Raw genomic sequence first — 25,398 nt, forward strand, 5'->3', positions numbered from 1 at the left:
TTGATTGCTAAGCTGCAGAAAAGCTGTATTGGTATGTAAGTACTCGTTTCCTTACTATGCTCGTCATTTCTAGTGTCTGCTCTTCCTTTCCTTCTTCAAATGGGTTTGGTTTAATTCTAGTTGCTACTGTTCCATCAGAGGAATTGCAGAGAACTGGTCTTCAAAACAGTGCAGTATATACTTTAGGTGAAGATACTTCTAAAAACCTTTGTATTTTGAGGTAATTCTAGAGTCCCAAGAATTTGCAAAAAGAGTACATTGTCAGCAATATTTTTCCCAATGGTGACATCTTAATATAACTGTAGCACAGTAGCAGAATCAGGAAATTGTCATTGGGTAAGGTACTTTTTAATTCTCCAAATAATTCAGCCCTCCAAAAAAATCCCACTTCTTATGTTTTCAAACCTGTAGCTACTTTTGATGCGTACTTCCTAAATTGCATTTTTATTACTTTAAAAAATATAATACCTAGAAGCTCAAAGCTGGAAACAGCCTGATCAATATAGTACTCTTAAGCTAAAAACAACCTGATCAATATAGTACTCTTAGGGAAATCACTTATGCCTGTGGCTTTTTTTAAATTTTCTTCCTGTCAGCTGTCTCTTCATGATTTTGTGGTTTTTATTACTGCTTATACCATAGATGAGGTATAGAAAGTAAAAGAAGTTAAAATGCATTTTTCTCAATTTAGTGAATTAATGATTACATTCAGATTTATAGGACAAGGGTTGAAGCTACAAGGGGTTGATAGGAATCTTGATGTATCTGAGTATTTTCCCCAACTTTATTACATGACTGGTTCAGACTATTTTATCTAATTACATTTCACTCTTGGCAAAAATAGCAAAACAGTCAACCAATGGTCAATGCTGCTGAGAACTCTGGCCTGTGCAGACATATTGGCTGTTTTACTTCTAATACCATTCTGCTTTTCCTGTCCTGCTGCTGATGGATGTTTCTTCCAGGTTTTAAATATCAAACAAAAGGGATCTGTGGGCCCAGTACAGGGAATGGCTCTTGATAGATTTGATTTTCCTGCATTTCCTTTATTTTGATCCAGTGTTAATTTCATGTAGAGTTGTCTGTTTAACAGGATTCTCTTAAAATTCCTTCTTCAGTTTACCTGCCAGCTTTTCTTTGTCCAGGTTTCAGTATGAACTCCACTCGATTAATAGAGCTCTCTAGTAGTGACTTGTGGAGTGGGTTCTCTGAACATTTCTGGAAGTGTTGCTGATAGTGATAATATTGATCACTAGTACTGTTAATTTGTGTGCTTACTACATGTTGGCTTTTATATGTATTCCTTCAGATTAAGGACTTCTAGAAAACATCCATGAAAAAACAGATTAAAAAAAACAATTCTGCATGTATTTGGGACTAGAAGGTACTATGGGAAGGATAATCTTCATACTCAGACCATACTGACCTGAATTTCATTTATCAGTTTAGAGAACCACTTCCCCTTCCCTTCACCCTACCTCCGAGTGCCTGTGACTTTGTATCACCGCTCTGGCACCACATCCTCATCCCAGCAGGATTTGGGAAGGCTGCTTTTTGAAAGCCTTTTAAAATTCTGTAAGTTGAGAAAATACTAGGGGAATGATTTTAAATTTCTTTAGAATTACAGGCTTTAGTCAGTATATGACAGAGCCTTTTCCTAGAAAAATGTGCATATAAAAATTTGCATGTAGTTTTAGGGTTTCAGAGACCCCTAAAGCCTATCCATAGACGTGGTTCATTGTCTGATTGTGTTTAGGTACCCTTCTAAAACCCTTTTGAGATGTTAGGAATCACAACAGAGTATCTCTGAAAATGTAATTAGCGGAAAGAATATTTCAAAGACTGTTGTTCTGCTTAGACTTTCTAGTTTGTCTTCTGCCAGGCTTGCCGGAATAAATGAGTTTCCTGGCCTGATACTCAAAAGAATTGACATTTAAATTAGTCTCTCTCTTCCCTTGTTTTCGCTTGACACATCCTTGTCTCTACATTCTGTCTCTGTCTCTGTTAGCTTATTTCTCTCTCGAGTCAGCAGGATATAGTGGCTGTTATTTCTTCCCCTTATCCTTCAACTATCTACTTTTGACAACACTTTGCCTTTTTTTTTTTGAGATGGAGTTTCACTCTTGTTGCCCAGGCTGGGTGTAATGGTGCAATCTCAGCTCACTGCAACCTTTGCCTCCCGGGTTCAAGCCATTTTCCTGCCTCAGCCTCCCGAGTAGCTGGGATTACAGACATGCACCACCACGCCTGGCTAATTTTGTATTTTCAGTAGAGATGGGGTTTCACCATGTTGGTCAGGCTGGTCTTGAACTCCTGACCTCAGGTGATCTGCCTGCCTCGGCCTCCCAAAGTGCAGGGATTACAGGCGTGAGCCACTGTGCCCTGCCTGCTATTTGCCTTTTTAATCTCATGAAATGTTCTCTTTTCTTGGCTGAAGTGTCACTTTTCTTGTTGAACAGCATGCGTGGTGAGTAGAATGTTATAAAAAGGGATGGACTTTGGAGTTAGAGAGACCCAGGTTCCTGTTCGGCATTGCAGAAATGCTGTTCTGCAATAGGCTGTGTGTCAGTGGGCAAATTACTTATCTCTCAGAGCCTTATTGGTAAGGTGTGAGTGATAGCTCCTTTCAGGCACCTTACAGAGGCTGTCTCCTAATCCTGGTAGCGTACCTGGCTCATAGATGGCATTTAAAAGTGGTTGTGATGACAGTCATAGCTCACCATTAGCATAGCGCTGGATCCATGGCAGGGAAGCGCTGCACATGCAGTATCTCTTGGACTACACAGGGCCCTCATGAATTAGGAACTGCTGTTTCATGAGGATAGGGATGAGGAAATTAGACTTGCTGCCCCTCACTGCCTTCCACTCCTCTCCTCCAAGTTAATGGGAACTATGACTCTGCTTTGGCTTGATTGCCATGGAAGATTCTCACACAGCCAAATTTATTGCTATCTTAGTTAAATTATGCCAGAACACAAAATATGAAGTTATTGTCAAAGTAATATAATCTCAGCTGTAACTGAGATAGTCAGAAACTGTCTGTAATCTGATGTCCTATCTGAAAGGTAGCTGAGAATAAACAAGAAATAAAGAGAATTCAGTAGCAAATATTGGTGACACAAAGCTTTTATATTTTGACTAGTTAAGCTAGTTCTTAAATGTTTCCACTAAAATATTCAAGTTTAAGGGCATAGCCCAGGGCAGCTTATTATGAACATGATGTATTTTGGAAATCTTACACTTTCTCTTAAAAGTTCTTGGGAGGGGCATGTGAGGCCATAATATAACCATAAAACCATTTGTTTTAAAATAAAACCCATTTTTAAAATTCTTCCAAATAAAAAAATTATTGCAGGAAAAAATGCTAAACCTGGTTTTTAACTTTGTACGCCAACTATATTTCCAAGATGTGCTGTAGCCTGGTAACCATACAGAACCATACAGAATTAGTTCTCAGAATTTATTGTCTGCTTACTTTTGCATTTGGTACAGGTATAACAGGGTCGATTATATGGTTTCTAAGACATGACTAGAAAGAAATATGTTTATCAGTTATTATTTCTTCCATCTAAATTAGAAGGGGCTAGGGAGAGGGCTTCAACAGGAATTTATATACTTTAGAGAAAAGTGATCATTGATAGCCCAATAGTATAGATATCTCAACCCAATAACACAGGTTGTGTCTGTCTCTGGGATCATACACTGTAGGGGAGAATCTTTGCAAGCAACATTCTACTTATAGGGAGCCATAACAAAAGTTTCATATGTATAATAATTATAAGTCTTAAGTCATCAAGAAAAAGTTAACTTGTGAATGATAATCCCTGATTAAAAAGAGAGATGTATAATAATGGATAAGAGATTTTTCTTGGTTAATTTTTAGTATTAAAATGGCTAAATCTTTTTTGGGATATTCTGACTAGTATGGTGCATTGTCTAATAGATTTCCCATAGCTGAGAGCTAATCATCTTGTAATCTGTGGAAAACTGTCCTCTTTGGCTAAAACTTTATTGTAATTCCTCTAAATCCTCAGCTTTTATTTTCTACAGACTTTTTTTTTTTTTTAACATTTCCTTCCTCTGACTCACTCCTTTTGTTCTCATTTTCATGGCCTGAGAACATGGGTGATGATAGAATTATTCTTTTCACAGATTAACAGTTTTCTTTTCGAGTATCGTTGAGCTCATGTGTGTATTAACTAGAGAAGTCTCCCTTACATTTCATTTTTATGTTTTCTTTCTCATCAGGAGATAGTTTGTAGCCATTTACTTTCAAATCCAAGTTTCTGCGGTTCTTAAGACCTGTATCATTTGTCTCCTGAATTTCACTTCATTTCCTCTTTAAACCATGTCCTCTGTTTCCCATCTTCTGCACCCACTTTGCCACTTCCTGTTTGTTTAATTGGCAAGGGCCACTCTCTGTGTTGGAAATTTTTTCTTTTTGAAAGCTCAACTAACAACTTCTAGGAAGTTTTTTATTGCTACTGTTATCAATTCATACCATCTTACCCTTGTTTTTGCAACCCTTTGTTAATAACATATTTATTTAACTATAGTTATTAGCAGTCTGAGATCATTTTACTTGGTTACATAAGGAGCACATATATCTACCCAGCATCATTGTAAGGCATGTGAGACCTTTGTTTGATTGCTGTCCTAACCTAGTACCGAGTCCTAAAAACTCATTAGTAGAAGATGAAGTGTCCTTGCCTTTTGCTGAACATATATATACACACTGAATATTTAGTGGCAATTCATAGTTGCATTTGGCCATTTTTTGTTTATAATTTCCCCTTTCTCATTAAAAAAACTTTGTTTTCTAGACTTTAGGATTTAGAGAAGCTCATTTTGTTCCATACACATGCTGCTGTTGGATTATTTAGGTATTTTGTGACTGTATTTTATCTTTGAAATAAAAAGCCTTTCAAGAAATGCAAAAAAAAAAAGCTCAAAAAACAGAAAATGTATATTTTTTAAATATCTCAGATAGATTTAAAGAAATTTTAAACATCCTAATCATAGGACTTTTTTTTTTTTTTTTTTTTTTTTTTTTTTGGAGACGGAGTCTCGCTGTCGCCCAGGCTGGAGTGCAGTGGCGCAATCTCGGTTCACTGCAGGCTCCGCCCCCTGGGGTTCACGCCATTCTCCTGCCTCAGCCTCCCGAGTAGCTGGGACTACAGGCGCCCGCCACCTCGCCCGGCTAATTTTTTGTATTTTTAGTAGAGACGGGGTTTCACCGTGTTAGCCAGGATGGTCTCGATCTCCTGACCTCGTGATCCGCCCGCCTCGGCCTCCCAAAGTGCTGGGATTACAGGCGTGAGCCACCGCGCCCGGCCATCATAGTACTTTTGAAGCCCATTCATAGTACAACCTGTGAAGAGCCTCATGTACGCGCTAACTGGGTCCTGTCTCTGCAGTTGACTGGATTGTTGCTGACATCTTGGCCATCAGGCAGAATGCGCTAGGACATGTGCGCTACGTGCTGAAAGAAGGGTTAAAATGGCTGCCATTGTATGGGTGTTACTTTGCTCAGGTAACTTGTTTCCATGCTTTTCTCTCTATATATGTAGTTTATAAATTTTTTTTTTTTTTTTTGGAGACAGTCTCACTTTATTGCTCAGGCTGAGTGCAGTGGTGTGAACACAGCTCACTGCAGCCTTGACCTCTGGGGCTCAAGTGAACCTCCTGCCTCTGCCTCCCAAGTAGTTGGGACCGTAGGTGCCCACCATCATGCCCGGCTAAATTTTCTATTTTTTGTAGAGATGGGGGTCTCGCTGTGTTGCCCAGGCTGGTCTTGGACTCAAGCAATCTGCCTGTCTCAGCCTACCAAAATGCTGGATTATAGGTGTGAACTGCCATACCCAACCCTATAAAAATGTTATATTTTAAAATTTAACAATATACTTCATGTGAATGTATGGTTTTTAAAATGGGTTTAATAGTTTATTCTCAGTTGAAGTAATTTTGTTTGGCATTTTTAGTGGTGTGTATTTATATACGTCTGATTATCCATATGCGGTTTTCCTTCAGCATCTGTGGGGATTGGTTTTAGAACCACCACAGATACCAAAATCTAAGGTGTTCAAGACCCTCATATAGAATGGGATAGTATTTGCATATAACCTGTGCACTACTTTAAATCATCTCTAGATTACTTATAATATCTAATACATTATAAATGCCATGTAAATGGTTGTTATACTTTATTTTTTATTTGTATTATTTTAATTGTTATATTATTTTTAATTTTTATTTGTTCACATATTTTTGATCTGTGATTTGTTGAATCTGCAGATGTGGAACTCATGGATGTGAAGGGCCAGCTGCAGTAAAATGAAAGAGCAAAAATGCAAATGTACAAAGTTCAAACAAATAGGAAATTTAAAGGCATAGAATTTGATAGGCAATTACATTAAACTGTTGATAACAGTAATTAGTGATCTGTATGATATTAAAAAAAAAAAGCAAACTGTATATATAAAACTTACTTTCTCCAGTTCTGGAGGCTAGACATCCAAGATCAAGGTGTTGACAGGGTTAGTTTCTCCCAAGGCCTCTCTCCCAGGCTTGCAGACAGCATCCTTCTTCCTGTGTCCTCAGGTGGTTTTTTTCCCTGTGCCCAAGCACCGCTGGCACTGCTTCCTCTTCTTAGAAGGACTAGTTACACTGGATGACTAATCCTTCTACAGAGACTGCTAAGGTCCCACTCTGAGGCCCTTTTTTAACCTTAATTACCACCTCTAAGTCCCTCTCTCTGAATACAGTCACAGTGGGAACTATTAGGGCTTTAGTAGACTGATTTGGGGGAACACACTTCTGTCCGTAACAGTGCCACATAAATATCTTTAGCAGGATTGATTTTTTAAAATCCCTAAAGATCGTGAGACATGTTAAGGACGCTTTTTAGTGACTCTGTAATAAGTGGGTGGAAGAATTGGGAGTTAAATCCATCTGATGGATCAGGTTTTTTATTTTTAAAAATGTGTATTTAAGAAAGAAAGCATTTTCATTTTAACTGCCAACAAAACTAAACTTCATGTGTTTTCCAATACAGTGTCACATGCAGTTTTTTTGAATTATGTTGAGACAAGGCAATTTTCAGCTAAATGTTCTTTAGAAGCTAATGTTTGAAGATATTAAATATAGATTAAATTCTGAAATGTAGTTTTCATTCTGTACTTTTTGCAAGAGAAGTTGCCTTTTTGATGACTCTGGCCAATTGTTATTTTAAAAGTAAATGCTCTTTCTCCCGATTTGATTGTGGCAGCATGGAGGAATCTATGTAAAGCGCAGTGCCAAATTTAACGAGAAAGAGATGCGAAACAAGTTGCAGAGCTACGTGGACGCAGGAACTCCAGTAAGAGCCTACCCGTTTTTATTTTTCTTACCAGCTCTCAGTTTCTAAATTTAAGAATTAAATTAAAATCTAAGAATTGTTTTGACAATGTATTTTCCCATGTGTAATTACTAATTCAGGGTTATGCTGAGGTAACAGAAACCCTCTATGTACAGGTAGGCAGGTTTTTCAGCCATCAGAAAGATTGCTGTAAACAACTAGGTCCTTTGCTGGTCAGTGGACCTTAAAGAGGAATAAAAAGAGCATTTGGTGTCGTTCAGAGTCTATAAATAGAACTAACTGCATTTTAACCTGACATTTAAGCTAGTTTACAAGCTCATCTTACTTCTTGTCTTCTTTAGTATCAGATTTGGTTTTAGAAGCAGCAACTGTTTTCTGTTAGTGCAAATTTTGAATGTCTTACATGTACAGAAAAACCAAAAAAGGATGAATCTCTACAAATGTTAAATCATTCAGTGTAAATAATATTTTATAAAACTTTATTCCACAAAAGTGGGGAGAGTTCAATCTGCTTTGTATAGAATGCTGATTGCTGCCAAAGGCTTTTCCCCTGGTTCCCTCCGGAGACAAAGCACCATGATCACCGGGGCGACTTGGGCTTTCTCTTTCAGTACATGACATGTGCTCAGAAGCTTAGCTCGTGTGCACAGGCTTTCCCTTTCCTTTCTGGCTCCCTCCCTCTGTCTTCCCTCCTCTCCTCCTGCCCTCCCCTCACCAGGGGTCCTGGGCAGCAGCTGGAGCTCATGGTGAAGGAAGAATTCTTCACGGTCAGCTGGCGAAGTGCCTGGTGTGAGCATTGTTTATTCACATGCCTCTTCTAGGTGTTTTTACATTAGAACATTGCATCTGTTTTGGGCATGTGTTGGGTGACAGAAGCAGAATGGAATGAGATGAACAGTGACCCTTTATCCTGTTATAGCTAACCCTTGAGAACCAAGCTTGGTGTCTTCAAAGGGTCTGTTTAGTCTGAAACAGTGTGGTGAATTTGGGCAGAATTGTGGTCATTGCATGTAGGTCTCCAAAAGACAGAATAAGTTGGTAATATGGTTTATCGACTTTTTACAAAAAAAATTTAAAAATCATGAATTTATACCTTAAAATGTCCATCCCACTTCTCTCCCAGCTGTCCAGTCACCCCAGCAATGGATGACTGCTGTGGAGTTCCTTCTGTGTCCTGCTGTGGGCATTGTATATATGAAGCAAATGAAGATAGCTGCCTTTTGGGTGATGTTGGCATCCTATGCACAGTGGCCCCTTGCTTTTTTGCCCCCATGAATATAGCTGCCAGTGGCGCTAGGGCTGAAAAAATCAGCTCTTTACACTTGTCATGTGTCTTGTTTATGTGGCTGCCTTCGTGAGTTTCTTCTTGTTTTTGGTTTGCAGCAGTTTAAGTATCATATATCTGAGTGTCATTTAAAAATTTTTACCTGGATTGGTCCTCTGAGCTTGGATCTATGATTTGGTGTCTGTTATTAATTTTGGAAATTTCTTTGCTCTTATTTCCTTAAATATTATTCCTACCCCAGTCTTTCTTCTCCAGTTATGTTTGTGTTGGTTCATTTCTCGCTGTTCTTTAGTTCTTAGATGCATTATTCGTTTTTTGTTGGTTTTTTTTTTAATTTTTTTTTTTACGCCCCCTCCCTTTTTTCTTTTTGTGTTACATTTTGGATAATTTCTGTTGACCCACCTTTGAGTTCATGGATTCTTCCTTTGGCTGTGTTGAGTCTACTGGTGAGCCAGTTTAAGGCACTCTTCATCTCTGCTACTGCGTGTTTCATTCCTCACATTTCCCTTTGACCCTGTTTCATAGTTTCCATCTCTGTGCTAGTGTATCTATCTGATCATAAAGCTTAGTCACGTTTTCCAGTTGAACCTTTATCATTTTATTATACTTGCAGTTCTCTTAAATTCCCTGCTTGATAATTCCAACATCTGGGCCATATCTGAGTCTGCAAATTTTGATTACTTTATCTCTTCAGATTGTGCTTTATCTTGCCTTTGTCATACTTCCTAAGATTTTGCCTAACGCTGGGCCTTTTTTGTAAGACAGGAGAAATGGAGGCAAGTTGTCTTGATACCTGGAAATGGATAGACTTGTCTTTCTGCTTGGCCTTTAGTGTTGAGGAGTGGAGTCAGTCCACTGAGGAGGTGCACTGCATTTGGGTTTTGCTCATGTGCTTTTTCTCACAGCTTCAGGTTTCTGTAGAACTCATTACTTTGTTTGTAGGTTGGGGATGTCCTCCCGCTAGAGCTTTTCCTCAGTGTCTATTTCACACTCAGCGTTTTCACATAGCACCTTGGAGTGGCTCTCTTCTTTATGCCTTTCCCCACTATACTTCTTGGATACTTGTTACTGAACTCTCGCTAGTTTGGTGGTAGAAGGAGAGGGAAGGGAAGTGTCTTTTCATTCTTAGGGAGAATCTCAGGGGTGGAGCCTTCTCTGATCCTGCCTTGCTTCTGGCTGTAAGTCTGTGCCCAGTATGTATTCCTGCCTTTACTAAGAGTTTTTCCCTGTTCTCTTCACCCAGCCTCATCGAGTATTCATCCGTGCCCCATGGGTAGCAGGGTTTTGTTGCCCCTGTTCATCAGTTTCAGGCTGCTGTTCCATAGGAAAGGTAGAAAGAAGGATGTGGGCTGGGCCCTGAGCCCTTCCCACAGGGCTGCTTTTCCCTCCCACAAGCCTACATCCAGTCTTCCCTGACCGCAGTGTGTTTTCCTTTTTCTTTGTCTTGTGAGTACACAGGAGGTCTGTGGGTCGAGCCTGTGAAATGTGCTGCATTCTCCTTGTGTCTGTAGCCCAGGGGTTCGTCTGTTCCACTGGCTCATACTTGGCTTTCTGCAAAATTGTTAAAATTTTTAGCTAAATTCTTTTTACTGGTATCTGTTACATTGGCCCCCAACTAAACAACCACTTGCATCTTGTTTCTCCTTTGAGTTTTCCATGTTTCCTTAGACTTTTGGGTTAGTTGGTTGCCTTGCAACCTTGCAGCTCTCTGAAGGGTCTAAGAAAAGTCATGAATCTACAGCTTGTCAGTGTTGTTGTTGTTGTAGGGTTGGCAGTAGTATTCCTTCAGCATTCTACATACTTAATGGAAGCCGCCTCCCATTTTTGGTTAATAAATTTCAAAACTTGGAACAATGTTAGATTTACAAAAACGTCAGAAAGAACAGAGTGTTCCTGTTTATTCTTTATATAGCCTTTTTTTTTTTTTTTTTTTTTTTGAGTTGGAGTCTCGGTCTGTCACCCAGGCTGGAGTGCAGTGGCACGATCTTGGCTCACTGCAACCTCTGCCTCACGGGTTCAAGCAATCTCCTGCCTCAGCCTCCTGAGTAGCTGGGATTACAGGCGTGCACCGCCATGCCCGGCTAATTTTTGTATTTTTAGTAGAGACAGGGTTTCACCATGTTGGCCAGGCTGGTCTCGAACTCCTGACCTCTTGATCCGCCCGCCTCGGCCCCCCACAGTGCTGGGATTATAGGTGTGAGCCACCACGCCCAGCCTTCTTCATCTAGCTTTAACATCTAATGTTGACATCTTACATAACATGGTATATATTTGTCAAAACTAAGAAATAAACATTGGTACCACACTATTAATTGTACTACAGATTTTTATTCAGACTTTACCAGGTTTTCCACTAATGTCCTTTTTCTGTTCTAAAATACAATCCAGAATAGATACAAATCCATTCAACTTCAGTGTTTTAAATTATTGTTTTTCATTATATGAAGTGCTGTGTGGTTTTTGTCAAATCTGTTATTTTGGTTTTAATCTTCAAGCTTGTCTTTGTTTCTTTAAGTGATAAAGGCATAATTTAAAAGGTGTGTTGGGTTATTTCAGTGCCTAAAGTCTTGTCTGAGTCACTTGTTTTCTGCTGTTCTTGCTTATGGTACTTTCTTTCCTTGTTTGCTTTGTTATCTTCCTTTGCTGCTGGCTGTGTTTGGTTAAGTTATTTGTGGAAATCAGTTGAAGCCTCAGGTGGGAGTGTCTTTCTCCGGAGAACATTTCTACCTGTTTTAGCTGGGCCCCTTAAGGCTCCTCTAGCGTGGGCCCCACCCAAACGAGATTCTGAGTTGAAGGTGAACTGAGCCATTCAGGCAGTGCAGCCAGGGTTGCAGATGCACGTGAGACCTGCTCACCTCTCATTTACTTTCACCCTGAGAGTAGAGCCTTTGGTGTTTCGTTCACTTGTCTGATTCTCTCTTCACAGTTCTATTAGAAGGTCCATGGGTTTTGGTTTCTGTGCCCTTCATCTTATGAGTCTTGTAAATCAAAGTTCTGTTTTATGCTTACTTCTGCTTTACTGTGTTTGCTTAATTTCAGTCTTAACATCTTGCCAACTCTTGGGTACTTTTAAAATAATGTTATATCCAGCTTTTTAAGTTGTTTTCAGTAGGAAGGTTGATTCAAATAACCTAGTCTGGTTATGGGCTACGAGAATAGCCTCCCTGTTTTTTGTGGGCAAAATTCCAGCCTTTTATGTTCCTAGCGCAGTGTGGATAACAGACTGGCAGGTTCAAGAGGCCGTGCTGAGCAGCTTTCACTGTAAGGTCACTGTCCCAGGTCGGGTTTCTAAGAATCTGGATGGTTGTTTCATTTCTTAATATGTACGCCCTGTGAGAGCGGATACATCTTGCTCAGGTTCTTATGATTCTTTTGTTTCTGAAGGTGAATTAAGTAAGTGACATGGTAGAATATGTTAAGTCAACTTTCGTGTGGCTTACTAGTTCTCATGAATCTATTCCATGATTGTATCAGTTCTTATTCGGTATTAGTATTTAAGAAATGCAGAATTTTGTTTCAAAAAATATATTTGTATTATAAGTTGTGAAGAAATACATCTCCATAATTATTGCTGGGACAATACAGTATTTTCTTAAGGAACTTATTGGTTGTGGATGCAAATGAAGCATATTTGTGATAAAAATAACTAATAGAAGTCATTTTGTTAGACTATGAGCTAGTAAAACTTATGGCACAAACATGGAGACTTAACACTTTTTCTTCCAGCTTTCACTTAAGTTCCTTTTCAGATAGGAGGCAGCCTGGTGGATAAGAGTATTGGTTTTGAAATTAGATTCAGGTTTAAATCCCAGATCTTCTGTTTAATCTTTATTTTATTTCAGGTAGATTTTCTGGATAACTTGCTATAGCTTATACATCAGTACTTGCCACTTCAATTTTATGTTATGGAGAGACGGCTTCTTTCCTTAAACCTCACGAACCAACCTCTGCTAGCTTCTAAGTTTTTTCCTGCCACTTCTTTACCTCTCTCAGCCTTCAGAGAATTAAAGGGAGTTAGGGCCTTGCTCTGGATTAGGATTTGCTTTAAGGGAGTGTTGTGGCTGGTTTGATGTTTTATCTAGAGCACTCAAACTTTCTCCATATCAGCAATAAGGCTGTTTTGCTTTCTAATCATTCATGTGTTCAGTGAAGTAGCACTTTTAATTCTCTTTAAGAACTTTTCCTTTGCATCCGCAACTTGGCTGTTTAGTGGAAAGGACCTAGCTTTTGACCTACCTTGGCTTTCAACATACCTTCCTCACTAAGCCATTTCTAGCTATTGATGTAAAGTGAGAGACATGCAACTCTTCCTTTCACTGGAACGCTTAGCAGCCATTGTAGGGTTATTAATTGGCCTAATTTCAATATTGTTGTGTCTCAGGGAATAGGGAAACCCAAGGGGCGGTAGAGAGAAAGAGAGACAGGAGAACAGGCCATCATTGGAGCAGTCAGAACACACACGACATTTATCAATTAAATTTGTCATCTTATATGGGTGCAATTCATGGCACCCCCAAACAATTACAATAGTAACATCAGAGATCACAGATCACAATAACAGATATAATAATATGAAATATTGTGAGATTACCGAAATATGACACAGAGACGTGAGGTGAGCACATACTGTTGGAAAAATGGCACCAATAGACTTGCTCGATGCAGGGTTGTCATAAACCTTCAATGGGAAAAAAATGCAATTTCCGTGAAGCTCAGTAAAGCGAAGCATGATAAAATGAGATGAGCCTGTCACTCCTAAGAATGTTCCTGTACAAGTTTTTTGCATCTGTTACTTACCTTTTCCTATTTGTGAATAGTATCTTTTTTGAGTACGTGTGTTTTTTTATTTTTATACATTTATATGTATCTTTTGAAGAACATACTTTTAAGCTTAATTTATTGATTTTTTTTCTCTCATAATTTCCACTTTTTGTATCCTATTTAAGAAGTCCTTGCCAAACTTAAGGTTGCTAAGATTTTCTCCTTTGTTTTCTTCTGGAAATTTTAGAGTTTTGCTTTTACATTTAGTTCTAGGATTTATTTATAATTAATGTTTTCATATGGTGTAAGATCGAAGTTCATATTTTTTTAATATAGGTAACCATCACTATAGAAAAGATTATTTCCCCCCAATGTTTGAAATAAGTAGACTGAATATAGATGGGTCTGTTATCCCTAGATCAATGGAGCATTTGTTCTGTTATATTGATCTATATATATATATCCTTATGCCAATACCATACTGTCTTAATAATGCTTGCTTTGCAGTAAGTTTTTAAATAGTGTAGTTGTCTTCTAAATTTGTTCTTTCTTTTCAAAGTTGTTTTGGCTATTTTAGGTTTTTTGCATTTCTGTGTGAATTATAGAATTAGCTCGACAATTTCTACCCAAAGTTTGTGGGCTTTTCATTTTGATTGTATTGAAGATATAGATGAATTTGGGAAGAATTGATATAACAGGATTGAATCTTTGGATTCATGAACGTAGCCTGCATTTGTTTACTTAGGTCTTCTTTATTTATCTCAGTGTGTTTTGTAGTTTAATGTACAGATTTGCACATCTTTTGCCAGATATATCCCTAAGAATTTCAGTTTTTGATACTATTGTAGATGACATTTAAAAAAATTTCAAGTTTTTGTTTGTTGACCTAGGCATATATTTGACTTTTTAATATACTAACCTTGCTAAACTTATTTATCATCTAGTAACTTACAAAATATATTCCTTAGGATTTCCTACATAAACAATCATGTCATTGTTATAGAAATAACAGTTTTACTTTGTCCTTTTTAATCTTGATGGCTTTTATTTCTTTTTCTTGCTAAATTTTCTGGCTAGACCTCCTAGTACAGCCTTGACTAGAACTGGTGTGAGGGAAATCCTTTCCATATTCCTCATCTTTAGGGAAAAGCACTCATTCTTTTATCCATTCTTTAGTTCCTAGCCCCATTGCCCTTCCTAAATTTTTTCTCATCATTTTCCTTCATCACACCTTGTTCTTTTTCTTTGCAATCATATCATGATATGTAACGACATGTTTTTATTTATCTGTTTAATGTATTTCTTTTCCTCACTTGTCCATGAAGGGAAGGACCATATGTGTTGTTATCCTTTGTGCAGTTCCTGGAACATAATAAGTATATAAGAAATAGTTTCTGAATTAGCTGTGAATGAATTCATGCCTTCCTGCTGTCTGTCAATGTTCTTTTAAATTAAACATCTAAGACAGCAAATAATACCACATGAGTTATTAACCTGAGAAATAATCGTTTTATTTATAAATGACTGAGTTGAAAGCTGATAGCCCACAGTAATTGCTTTCATGGCTTTGAATATAAACCTTACTGTTACAAAACACATTTTCATGAAAATGAATGTGTGGTGTTTGGAACTAGCTTTAATGTTTGTCTTCCTGTTTTTCCTTCTAGTTGCTATAATATAATAAGGAATTTTGTATGTTTTTCCTAATTGTACCCACTTTTCTACATTTTCTTAACAGATCTGGTGAATCTTCATTATTAAATATAATTATACATATAAATTATTGTTTAATAATAATATTAATTATTAAAAATAATATAAATTATTAAATATAAAGATACATATAATATTATCTGTTAATTTCTAAGTTAGGTGTGGGTTCTGAAGACTATTATATGAATGAACAAAAAGCTTGCATATTTGCGTGGAAGCTGAAAGTACGAAATTTTTAGATACCATTATACCAGTATCTAAAGAAAAAATTCAGTACCACATAGGTTTTTAAGTAGGAGCTGTATGATCATAGGTCATCCAGATGAAGGAAGGCTTCTGTACCAGACGTACAGAGGTAGACAGTGTTGTCTGAGTACTGTCTGAGATCTGGCAAGAATGAATCCAATAAACGTAGTTTTCTCCCATGAGCTCCTGTCTTGTTTCCTGTATTCTGTTTGTATTTGAAAAGATTTGGTGTGCATAACTTATTTTTGTCTTTTGGCTGTCAATCAAAGTTATTAGTGTAGTTTTTGTAACTCAGTTCTCAAGCTAGGAGTTTTTGCTGTATAATTTTAATGTTTCTGTTTTTACTTTCCTAAGCAGATAAGCGTAAAAACTTAGACTAATTGATTACTTATTAAACGTCCAGCTTGATATTCTTCTTTATATTATTTTAGTTTCAGTTTATATAACAAATGAGGTTTCTTATAAATAAAATTTAAAATGCACTAAAGGAGCTGTGTGAAATAGGAATTCTGTGTGAAGCTTTTGAATGTGAACATTTAGAACGTTTCACATGGTGGGAATTTACTATATGATTTTCATCAAATGAGGTACTTTTTAGTGTTGGTACTTAACGATACTGATTTCTAAAATTTGTATTTCTAAAAATGACGTATTACAGGATCTGAAAGGGCAAAAACTCATTGAGGCTTTGTATGAGTCAGCGTTTCATGGCCTATTTTTAATTAGTGAATTATTAGCATATAATTAGAAATGTTTTTAGATTCTTCATGGCTGACCTACCAATGAATGTAGCACTGCATTTAAAATATAGTTCACGTTATGTTCATATTTAATTGTTGCATTTTGTTTGCCCCTCTTGAAACGAAGGTCACATGTAAATAAATATACATTTTCTCCTACTGTAGGAAATACTCTGTTAGCATTAGTAGGTTTAGCTTTTTTAGGTTAACAATAACAAAAACAAAGCTCACACAAAATAAACCAAATTTGCTCTATGTCCCACAGATGTATCTTGTGATTTTTCCAGAAGGTACAAGGTATAATCCAGAGCAAACAAAAGTCCTTTCAGCTAGTCAGGCATTTGCTGCCCAACGTGGTAAGTAAAAATTTGAGTGTTTGAACAAATAATTTTCAAAGATAATAACATTTTTAGTTTTTCTTCCTGGAAAAGATACTTTTGTTTTACAGTTGAAGGAATGAATGTATTCATTCCTTGAATTAGTGTACATATTATCTCTTAGGAAATGAAGTTTCTTCTCCTTAATTCACTTTCATGCTATTATTACATATATCTGAGAAATTAAGTTGAAGTGCTTGTTACGATACATATTCTTGTGCCATGGATTTATTTAAAATCTATCTAAGTACATGATTATGTAGATGGAAGCTTTTTCTACAGTGTATGGGTTATATGTAATGGAGCTTCTGTTTTGTAAGATGACAGACCTAAGTTGGAGTCCAAACTCGTACTTTTATTAGCTGTATGGTTGCAACTTGGAAGTTGTGTAATGTTGCTGAGCTTGCTTCTTCATCTCTTAAAAGAACATATGCCTTATAAGTAGATCTAAATCTGTGTGAGGATTAGATTAGAAAATATGTCAAGTTTCTATTGGAGAAGTTACACAAAGTTGGTCCACAGTGCTTGGAAGCTGTTAATGTCTTCAACAATGGTAATGTTCTTAATATCCATATTTTAGAAAATTGAATAATTGGTACACCAATAAGCTATGCAATTTAACCAAATTGGGAAGTATACAGAAAACAGTGGCTATGCTATGTTCTTAGAGGTGTCTTTGAAGCTTGACTGTGATTTAGTGTGTGATCTCCATATGTTGATAGTCACTCACTGAGCAAATACCTTGTTGGTGACATTACAGCAGGGCCTATGACAGTGCTGTCTAATGGAACTTTCTGCAATAATGGTAAAGTTCTTCATCTGTTCTGTCCAGTGTGCTGGCTCCTACCAATGTGGTTTTTGAGCATTCAACATGTGACTAGTGCATGAAACTAATTTTTAATTTTATTTAATTTTAGTTTAATTAAAAATAAGGGGGAGTTTTTACAAGGTGCTTACAAGAGCAGATATGTCATAGGTATATGACATCATTTGTAACAGTACTTTTAAAAAATGCCAGTTTGTTTTTAAACACATGTCCTATTAAGTAAGGAGTGTTTCAGAATAGGAGGGTTCAGTTGGTCTCCCCATCTGCCAGCTCTCTTTTGACTTTCATTGCTTCCTCTGTCTAATAGACATGACGTTCTGTCATTTCAGTTGCTCTTTTGCAATGCCATTGTCTCTTTTGCCCTTTTCACATTTATTAAACAGAACAAAACAAAAACCACTCTCGAATCTGTAGTCTACCTTTGTTGTAAGCACTTTTTCCAGTACTCACTCTGCCCTCAATTTGTTTTGGTCTGATTTGAAATTCTCTCCCTAGACTTCTGTGGGGCTGTTCTCCATTATCCTCCCAACTCTCTGGCGATTACTTCCTAGCCTCCTTTCCAGCCTCTTTCTGCTTCATTTCTCCCTGCTACATGTGTTATTTCCAGTGTCAGGTTTTGGTGTTTGATTAATTTCACTTTTTGTTTCTCATGGTGGCCTTCCTCTAAATCCATGGCTTTAGCCATCGTTTCCTTGACTGCTGATGACTCGCAAAAGCTTCCTCCCCTCCATGTCTCTCTGCCTAACTCTGGACCCATTTGTACAATTGTCCATTAGAGAGCTTCGCTTGACTGGCCCAAAAGGATGTCTCAAACTCAGCATATTGAAGATAGAATTTATCCTTCCATGCATACACTCATATTTCTTGTCTTGGTAACTCCATCATTCAGTTTTTTTGCCTAAGTTTTATTCACAAAAAGAACAAATTGATAGCAGTTGCATACCTCTTATAGGAAACTTAGACATGGAGGAAGAAGCTGTTCAGATGGGGTCCTGCAGAAGTGCAGGCACTGTGGTAATATTTAAACTTTTCTCAGCTGTTCGAAGGGTTTTGTTTTAACTAATTTTCCTTAGACTTGTTTTAGGTATTTGGCTTTCTAATGGTTATAAGGGATGTGGAATTAAATGTATCTTAATCTGCCACCTGGACCCATTAAAGTAAGCCCCTATGGTGGTTTTTTTTTTTTAATTGCCATGGTTAAAACCATAGTTGCTAGCGAAGGTGACATACTTAAGCTTTTTGAACTCTCTTAAAAGAAAACAGAAATTTAATGATGTGTCTATAATGGCAAACCAGATACCTAGAATTTCCATGTTATTCATAGGGTGAATAACACTGGCGATTGTAGAGATTTGAGAGTTCTTTCAAAACAGGAGAACAAAGGGAATAAGCTACAAAGCAATTTTTTTCTTTGTAGACTTAACTGAATAAAAATTATTTTTATGTCTCAAACATCATATGAACAAATTTAGTTGGCAAATGGCAAGCTAATAATATTTTATAATATAGGATATTAATATACTTAATATTACAAAAGTGCTTCATAATTAGAAAAGACATAAACTAGAAAAATGGGAAAAGGGCATGAATAAGAAATTCAAGAGATACAAATGACCCACACACTTGAACAAATGTTTATTCTTTCTCATAATCAAAGAAGTAGAAATTAAATGAATACTTTGAAGCCAACTTCTGAGAAAGCATAGCAAACAAGAAAGCTAGTGCTCAGCTTTGTGTGGTAACGGCACTCTCGCTCTTAAGAAGGTGTGTTTGCTCCCTGTGGCTGCTCTCAGGCAGGGCCACAAACTTGGTGGCTTAAAACACCACAGATTTCTTCTCTTACATTTGAGAAGTCTGAAATGGGTCTTACTCAGCTGAAATCAAGGTGTTGGCAGGGCTGCAGTCCTTTGTGGAGGCTTGGGGGGATCTTGTTCTCCTGTACGGGGTCCTGTGCTTGGTTCGGGGTCCTGTGCTTGGTCTGGGATCCTGTGCTTGGTTCGAGGTCCTGTGCTGGGTCCAGTGCTCTGCTTTTACCACCTTGAAGTTCATCTGGAAATGGCACTGGCTCGCCCACACCATATAGCTGACTCTGGTTCTCCCTCCTCCTCACTCGCTCTAAACCTGTGTTTTTGGCTGATTTCTAATCTCTCTTTCCTTGGCCCTTCTGCAGCTTGCAGGGCCTTCTGCAGCTCTTGTCTGCCCCAGCCCCGGGGTCTGCCCATCCCAGTGCTGGGCTGTTCTGTTCCTGCCCTGCCTTTCCTCAGCCCTTGGCAACCCTGTTTGTTTTCTCCCTTCCTTAGCAGTGGAGAACATCGTAAGATCAATGCTGACTGCCTTCTGCAGCCAAGCCAGGCCATTTCATTTCAGCCGAGCCAAGTCTGTGTGGAGCAGTTCTTTTATTTTTCTCCTTTTGACTACCTCATGGTTTTCACGGATTTTTGTTCTCTTCACATTCAAGGATTTTTTGCTTTCAGAAAGTTATATTTCTCTGGAAAGAGTGCACCCAATATCCCTTTTGATTTCAAAATCTTAATGTGGAGTCTCTTGACTTGGATTTCTTTGGAAGAAACTGCTGAAGCTGCCATGTCTAAGAAGAAAACTTTGGAGAAAAATTTTCTTCTTAGACATGGCAACGTCAACAGTTTCTAAGCTCTTGATTCCGTCTACCCTGTCTCCATCGTTGCCTCAGTCATCTGCCTTACTTCTCTGCAGGGGTTTCTCCCAGCTTGCAAATGTACTCCAATTCTGAAATAACTAAGTCTATAGCTGTGCAAAGAGAAGTCTGGGCCCCTTGCTTTCTTGTGTTTGACTCCATCCACTCTCCAGAAATGAATCCCACTTCTCACTTAACCACTGACCTCCAAAGCATCGTATCATTTGTGTCAGTTGTCATATTTGTTAACTTTCACATAACTTTTGACATTATTTATACCTTTATAACCAGGAAATAATTTTAACTTTATTGTAGAAATAAACAATGGAGTATAATTTTTCTTGTTGAAGATAAATATCACCTCCTCTTCCTTTAAACATCTCTTCCCTTTGTTTTTGTATTACATTGGTTTCCCCCCTTTTTTTATTTCCTGGGTTGTCGTATTCCCTGTTATTATTTTTACCTTTTTTTTTTTAATGTGGATGTTTCCGGAGTCTGTATTTCTTGCCTTTTCATCTTCTGCCCTTTATTATTCTCAGCCACTGCCATTACTTCAGTTATCCATTCCCATGGTTTCCACATGCTTAGCTTCGGTTGATTCTTGCCATTTTACAGACCATATTTCCAACTACTTCTAGAATGTTTTGTTCCTTCAGCCTCAGTATGCCCAATTTGAACTCATGTTCTCTCTCCCCCTTCTTTCTTCCTTCTTTCTTTCGCTCTCTCTCCCTTCCTTCTTTTCTTTCCCTCCCTCCCTTTCTTCCTTCCCTCACTCGTTCTCTCTTGCTTGCTTGCTTTCTCTCCTCTCTCTCTTTTCTTTCTGCATTCTTCTCCCTCCCTCTCTTCCTTCTCTCCCCCACTCCCCAACTTCCAGGCTAAAGCAGTCCTCCTGAGTAGTTAGGACTACAGACATACACGTGCCACCGCGCCCGGCTCCGTGTTCTCTTTGTTTCCCTGCCTCCTGCTCTTCCACTTATCTTTGCATGGCAGGTGGGTGCACGCAGGCATGCTCTGCATGTCTTCCTCTTGGCCATTCCCCTTCTAGTTATGGTGTGGCTTTATCTACGCGTTCTGGAGCAGAAGCCTAGTCACAAAGCTATTTTTTTAAAACATTCATGATAATTCATTTCCTTTTATGTTTTAAAAATACTAGCTTTCTGTCTTTATTTCCTTACTAACTTACTTGGATGCCAGTAATTAGTTGTTTTAGTGAACACCACAGAGTGATATTTTGAAACTTTGGACTTCATAAAGTTGGATGAGCTCCAGTAGCAAAGAAGGAAGTGTTAACTAGTTTAACTGACAAATAAATGCTTCCCAGCTTGGTGTGCGATTGAGATTTTTGTTGCAAGTTTGTGAATCAATTTAACTGCCCCTGCCCTGGGGACTAAAGTCAGATACGTGCTTGTGGGAATCTTTGTCTTTCCCACACCACCCTGCATTTTAAAACCTCTTGTGTGGGACAGTCCCACCATGTAATAGCTGTTCTTCCTTACTCAGCTACTTTCCCTCCAGAGAGGCCAGTAGAAAATCTAGACTAGTTTTTTATAGTCTATTTTCATGTCACTTATTGAGAGCTACTGTTTTCTGTTAAATTGTCAGTAAATATTTTAATCAAGGAAAAGGGAGGTAATAGGAAGGAGAGAAGAACAAATCCTTAACCCTAGTAGGAACCTAATGAATGGGATTTGTTCTGGATAATTGCAGTAGTCCCCCAGCTAAAGAACCTTTTAAAAATATGTCAGATATACCCAAGAGGATTGAAATCGTATGTTCATACAAAAGCTTGTTCACCTGCAGCCTTCATATGCAATTCCTATGAATGTTCATAGCAGCATTATTCATAATAGCCAAAGTATGGATGCAACCCAAATGTCCATGAAGCAATTAATAGGTAAACAAAATGTGATCTGTTCACACAGTGGAATACTAACTATTCAGCCATAAAAAGGAATGAAGCACTGAGTCCTGCAGCCACACAGATGAACCTCAGATCCATGCTGAGCGAAAGAAGCCAGAAACAGGAGGCCATGTGCTGTGTGACTGTATTTCTAGGAAATCTTGAGTCACCATGGGCAAGATGCTATCACCTTTGTTCAGTGGCCAGAAGCGAGGGCACTAATATTTACCCTTGCCGGGGTCTACTAGATTGAAGCGTTTCCGCTAGGCCATAAACTTCCAACACGGTGACTTGTACATGTAGATATTTGATCAATATATAGCAAATGAATATTGATTTAAACAGAAAAAGGCAAGTGAGAGTGCTTTCTAAACTTAGAGCCCTAAATATATGAGGTTGTGGAATTAATAGATTCTGTTGTGTGTGTTTGAGGGAATTTAAAAATAATTTAGATGTTAAACAGTATATTGTGGAGGTGTTTTGTAACTAATTAATGACGGCACTGAATTGACTTCTAGGCCTTGCAGTATTAAAACATGTGCTAACACCACGAATAAAGGCAACTCACGTTGCTTTTGATTGCATGAAGAATTATTTAGATGCAATTTATGATGTTACGGTGGTTTATGAAGGGAAAGACGATGGAGGGCAGCGAAGAGAGTCACCGACCATGACGGGTAAGTGTGTTCACGCACCTGAAATGCCTGTACACGGTATATACAGTGCACATGTTTATGTAGAATTCAGTTTTACAAAGTAGGTTAAGTGTACTTTTTTCCTTCATTACATTTACCCGGTATATTTTTCAAGATGTTATTAAGATGTAACAGTGGAGATTTCATTAGTCCTGCAAAGTGTGGTATTTCTTGGCTGTCGTGTGAGTCCTGTGGACTCACCAATTATCATTAATCCAGCCTCTTTCTACTCAAAGTTCACACTTAAAAGGAAAGCTCTGTAAAAGGGAGGAAGACGTGAAGAAGGAGCACGCCCGGCAGTACTGAGTGCACGTTATTAGTCAGTGCTGCCCTTTTGCTGTATTTTTCGTAAAATATTTATTAAATTTGGGTGTCATTGTGACAAGAAGAAATGCAGTTAAGTGTGACCTTTTTTTTTCCCCAAACATGTTAGGTTTTAAGAACCTTTGAGCTATTGTCAGATATAACCAGAAAAAAATAGAATTTTAAGTGAGCAGGATAACTTAGTTAAACTAACCAAACATAGTGTTAGCTGTTAGAGAAATGTAAACATGGAAATAGGCAAACAGGGAAGTGTGTGGAGTTTCTGTTTCCTTTTCAAAATATCTGTTTGAGCTGGGGTTGAGAGAGAACACTAGGCTTCATGGGGTTTTTTTGTTTTTCGTTTTTTGTTTTGAGACAAGAGTTTCGCTCTGTCGCCCAGGCTGGAGTGCAGTGGCGCAATCTTGGCTCACTGCAACCTCCGCCTCCCACGTTCACACGATTCTCCTGCCTCAGCCTCCTGAGTAGCTGGAACTACATGCGTGTGCCACCATGCATGACTAATATTTGTATTTTTAGTAGATATGCGATTTCACCTTGTTGGCCAGGCTGGTCTCAAACTCCTTACCTCAGGTGATCCACGCACCTCGGCCTCCCAAATGAGCTTTGTGTTTTTACCTCATCAGCTGTTTGGGGTTGAGCCACTATGTATGTCAGTGTGCTTGTATCAGTAGGATCTACTGAGGGCAGATGTTCAAAATATGAGCCTCCAGCACGTTTTACATGGAAACCCTCACCTGAAGCATTCGTCTGAAGTTGATGTGCCTTGGAAATTTTATAGAGTAATATTTTTAACTACAACAAAACATTTATAAAAGTAGACATTATTAAAGCATTCAGAAGTGAGCAAGGATAGAAATTATTCTGCCCAACCTTACACGTAGGCCTTCTAGACGTAGTACTGTGCACCGTTACATTATCTAACACTGTCTGTGTGTCATCTTTGGATGTTAGGGATTTTTCCAAAGTTCAGTGAGATTATAGTTGTCAAATGATTAGTCTGTTAAATAATGATAAGATGAGGGTCACTCAGGTTTTAAAAGAAAAGCTCTTTGACTGAAAGAGAGAGCAGCTGTCTACTGCAGAAAGTTAGGGAGGGAGGCTGGAGGAGTGAGGCCCAGGGGCTAGCTAGTATAAAAATTGGTTATGGTCGAAGGAAAAAAAAATGTAACATATTTATATCTGAAAGATGATTGTTCTCATAATTGTATATAACACAGAGTAATTGTAAAGTAGAAAACTAAGGTGTTTTTCATTTTAGATGTAAATGTTTAGAATATGTAATGCATCAGTTTAAAAATTAAAACTGTACGAAATGCACAGTGAAACGTCTTCCTTGCTTTCCACCCTGCTACCTGGCCTTCCCTTCTCCTTCCTAGCGATAACCAGTTTTCTTAATTTGTTGTGCGTTGTATGTGCAAATTTAAGTATATCTTCTTATTCTACCATCCCTCCCTTCTTACAGAAAAGTGGCATATTAATATTTTTCTCTTTTAAACTATCGAAGGAGTTACTTACCTATTTTTGCATTTGAAAACAGACAGTTCATCAAGATTGTCGTTGGTTTATTAAACATAGTTTAAGATTAAACAAGTGTTTATAACCAATGAAAAACAGATAGACTCCCCATAATAACCTTGTTTAAATGCTGCTACTTTTATCATGTCCCCTCCTGTCTAAGAACCCCTTGGTTCAGCAGAGCTCATGGGTAAGGCCAGCCTCTGTTGCCTGCCATCGGAGGAATGCGTTCCAGCCGTGATCTCTGCCTTGCCTTCGCTTCCTCCTGTGCTGTGCCGTGAAGCCTCGGCCGTGGTGAAGCTGGCTGACTGAGTCCTCCTGCACCCCATGCATATTCAGTAGTTGAAGGCTTTGTGTGGCCAATCCTGCTTTCCACAGGAAACCACCCTCTCTTTTGTTGCCCTCATCCAAGGCTACTGTTCTCCCACAGTGACAGGCGGCACCTTTCCCAGCATAGCACTGTGCCTTCTCCTGCCCCTGCTCTTGCAGTACTGCTGTGGCACTGATGGCGTGTGTTACAGTGCTGGCACTTAGCACAGGGCTCTGCCTTTCTCTCTTCCCAGCCGCATCATAAGTGCCTTGAGGAAGCCAAAACCTTCTGTGAGTTGCATTGCCTGGGTTCCAACCTCCCACTGCCCTGCTTATCCTCTGCTACATGTGAGCTGACTGTGGCTTTGGGGTGGTCACTGCCTATGTGTATTCATTACAAATTGTCTCCTTTTGAAAGATTGACCTTTCTGACTTACCCAGATACCATAAAGAAAATAAAATCTTATCACTTCAGTCAAGGATAAAGTATTTCTGAATTAAAGGAAAAATACACCAGAGTAAAATCAAGACTGAAAGACAAACTGGGAAATTATTTACAACCTAGATCATAGAAAAGGGGTCATTTCCTTCTTGCGTAAAGTGCACTTACAAATTGATAAGAAGATGACTGATAACTAGAAAGAAAAATGGGTAAAGAACAACAATAGACATTTCACATTTAACCTCATTCATGATA

General features: G+C 38.3%; 1 protein-coding gene and 2 non-coding genes across 6 annotated transcripts in view, besides 7 other annotated features; 2 read left to right on the forward strand and 1 right to left on the reverse strand.

The window, feature by feature from the left end:
* The window catches only part of AGPAT5 (1-acylglycerol-3-phosphate O-acyltransferase 5), a 52,862-nt gene that overhangs the window by 16,652 nt on the left and 10,812 nt on the right, over nt 1–25,398 (forward strand). For 3 of the 4 annotated variants that reach the window (XM_047421939.1, NM_018361.5, XM_047421938.1), the window contains 4 exons: nt 5,418–5,533; nt 7,268–7,357; nt 16,368–16,458; nt 22,377–22,535. In XM_047421939.1, the coding sequence (XP_047277895.1) occupies nt 7,316–7,357; nt 16,368–16,458; nt 22,377–22,535 (292 nt within the window). In that variant the 5' untranslated portion in view covers nt 5,418–5,533; nt 7,268–7,315. The remainder of the gene's footprint in view (nt 1–5,417; nt 5,534–7,267; nt 7,358–16,367; nt 16,459–22,376; nt 22,536–25,398) is intronic. The other variant, XM_047421940.1, reaches the window with a different exon arrangement.
* Nucleotides 11,192–11,381: an enhancer, noted in NCBI's record as "active region_26953". NCBI's record gives its function as "activates an Ori minimal core promoter by ATAC-STARR-seq in GM12878 lymphoblastoid cells {active_cell/tissue: GM12878}" and the evidence as "EXISTENCE:reporter gene assay evidence [ECO:0000049][PMID:35858748]".
* Nucleotides 19,162–19,441: an enhancer, noted in NCBI's record as "active region_26954". NCBI's record gives its function as "activates an Ori minimal core promoter by ATAC-STARR-seq in GM12878 lymphoblastoid cells {active_cell/tissue: GM12878}" and the evidence as "EXISTENCE:reporter gene assay evidence [ECO:0000049][PMID:35858748]".
* Nucleotides 19,472–19,551: an enhancer, noted in NCBI's record as "active region_26955". NCBI's record gives its function as "activates an Ori minimal core promoter by ATAC-STARR-seq in GM12878 lymphoblastoid cells {active_cell/tissue: GM12878}" and the evidence as "EXISTENCE:reporter gene assay evidence [ECO:0000049][PMID:35858748]".
* Nucleotides 19,871–19,951, forward strand: MIR4659A (microRNA 4659a). Its single transcript, NR_039803.1, has one exon. It is a non-coding gene; the product is annotated as a microRNA 4659a (primary transcript).
* On the reverse strand, nt 19,875–19,947 carry MIR4659B (microRNA 4659b). The gene has a single exon (NR_039807.1). It is a non-coding gene; the product is annotated as a microRNA 4659b (primary transcript).
* Nucleotides 20,974–21,023: a silencer, noted in NCBI's record as "silent region_18886". NCBI's record gives its function as "represses an Ori minimal core promoter by ATAC-STARR-seq in GM12878 lymphoblastoid cells {active_cell/tissue: GM12878}" and the evidence as "EXISTENCE:reporter gene assay evidence [ECO:0000049][PMID:35858748]".
* Nucleotides 21,164–21,213: an enhancer, noted in NCBI's record as "active region_26956". NCBI's record gives its function as "activates an Ori minimal core promoter by ATAC-STARR-seq in GM12878 lymphoblastoid cells {active_cell/tissue: GM12878}" and the evidence as "EXISTENCE:reporter gene assay evidence [ECO:0000049][PMID:35858748]".
* Nucleotides 21,815–22,109: an enhancer, noted in NCBI's record as "tiled region #12268; K562 Activating DNase matched - State 5:Enh". NCBI's record gives its function as "activates a minimal TATA promoter and a strong SV40 promoter by Sharpr-MPRA in K562 cells {active_cell/tissue: K562}" and the evidence as "EXISTENCE:reporter gene assay evidence [ECO:0000049][PMID:27701403]".
* Nucleotides 23,032–23,181: an enhancer, noted in NCBI's record as "active region_26957". NCBI's record gives its function as "activates an Ori minimal core promoter by ATAC-STARR-seq in GM12878 lymphoblastoid cells {active_cell/tissue: GM12878}" and the evidence as "EXISTENCE:reporter gene assay evidence [ECO:0000049][PMID:35858748]".

This window comes from Homo sapiens, chromosome 8 (assembly GCF_000001405.40).
Source record: "Homo sapiens chromosome 8, GRCh38.p14 Primary Assembly".
NCBI classification, from domain to species: domain Eukaryota; kingdom Metazoa; phylum Chordata; class Mammalia; order Primates; family Hominidae; genus Homo; species Homo sapiens.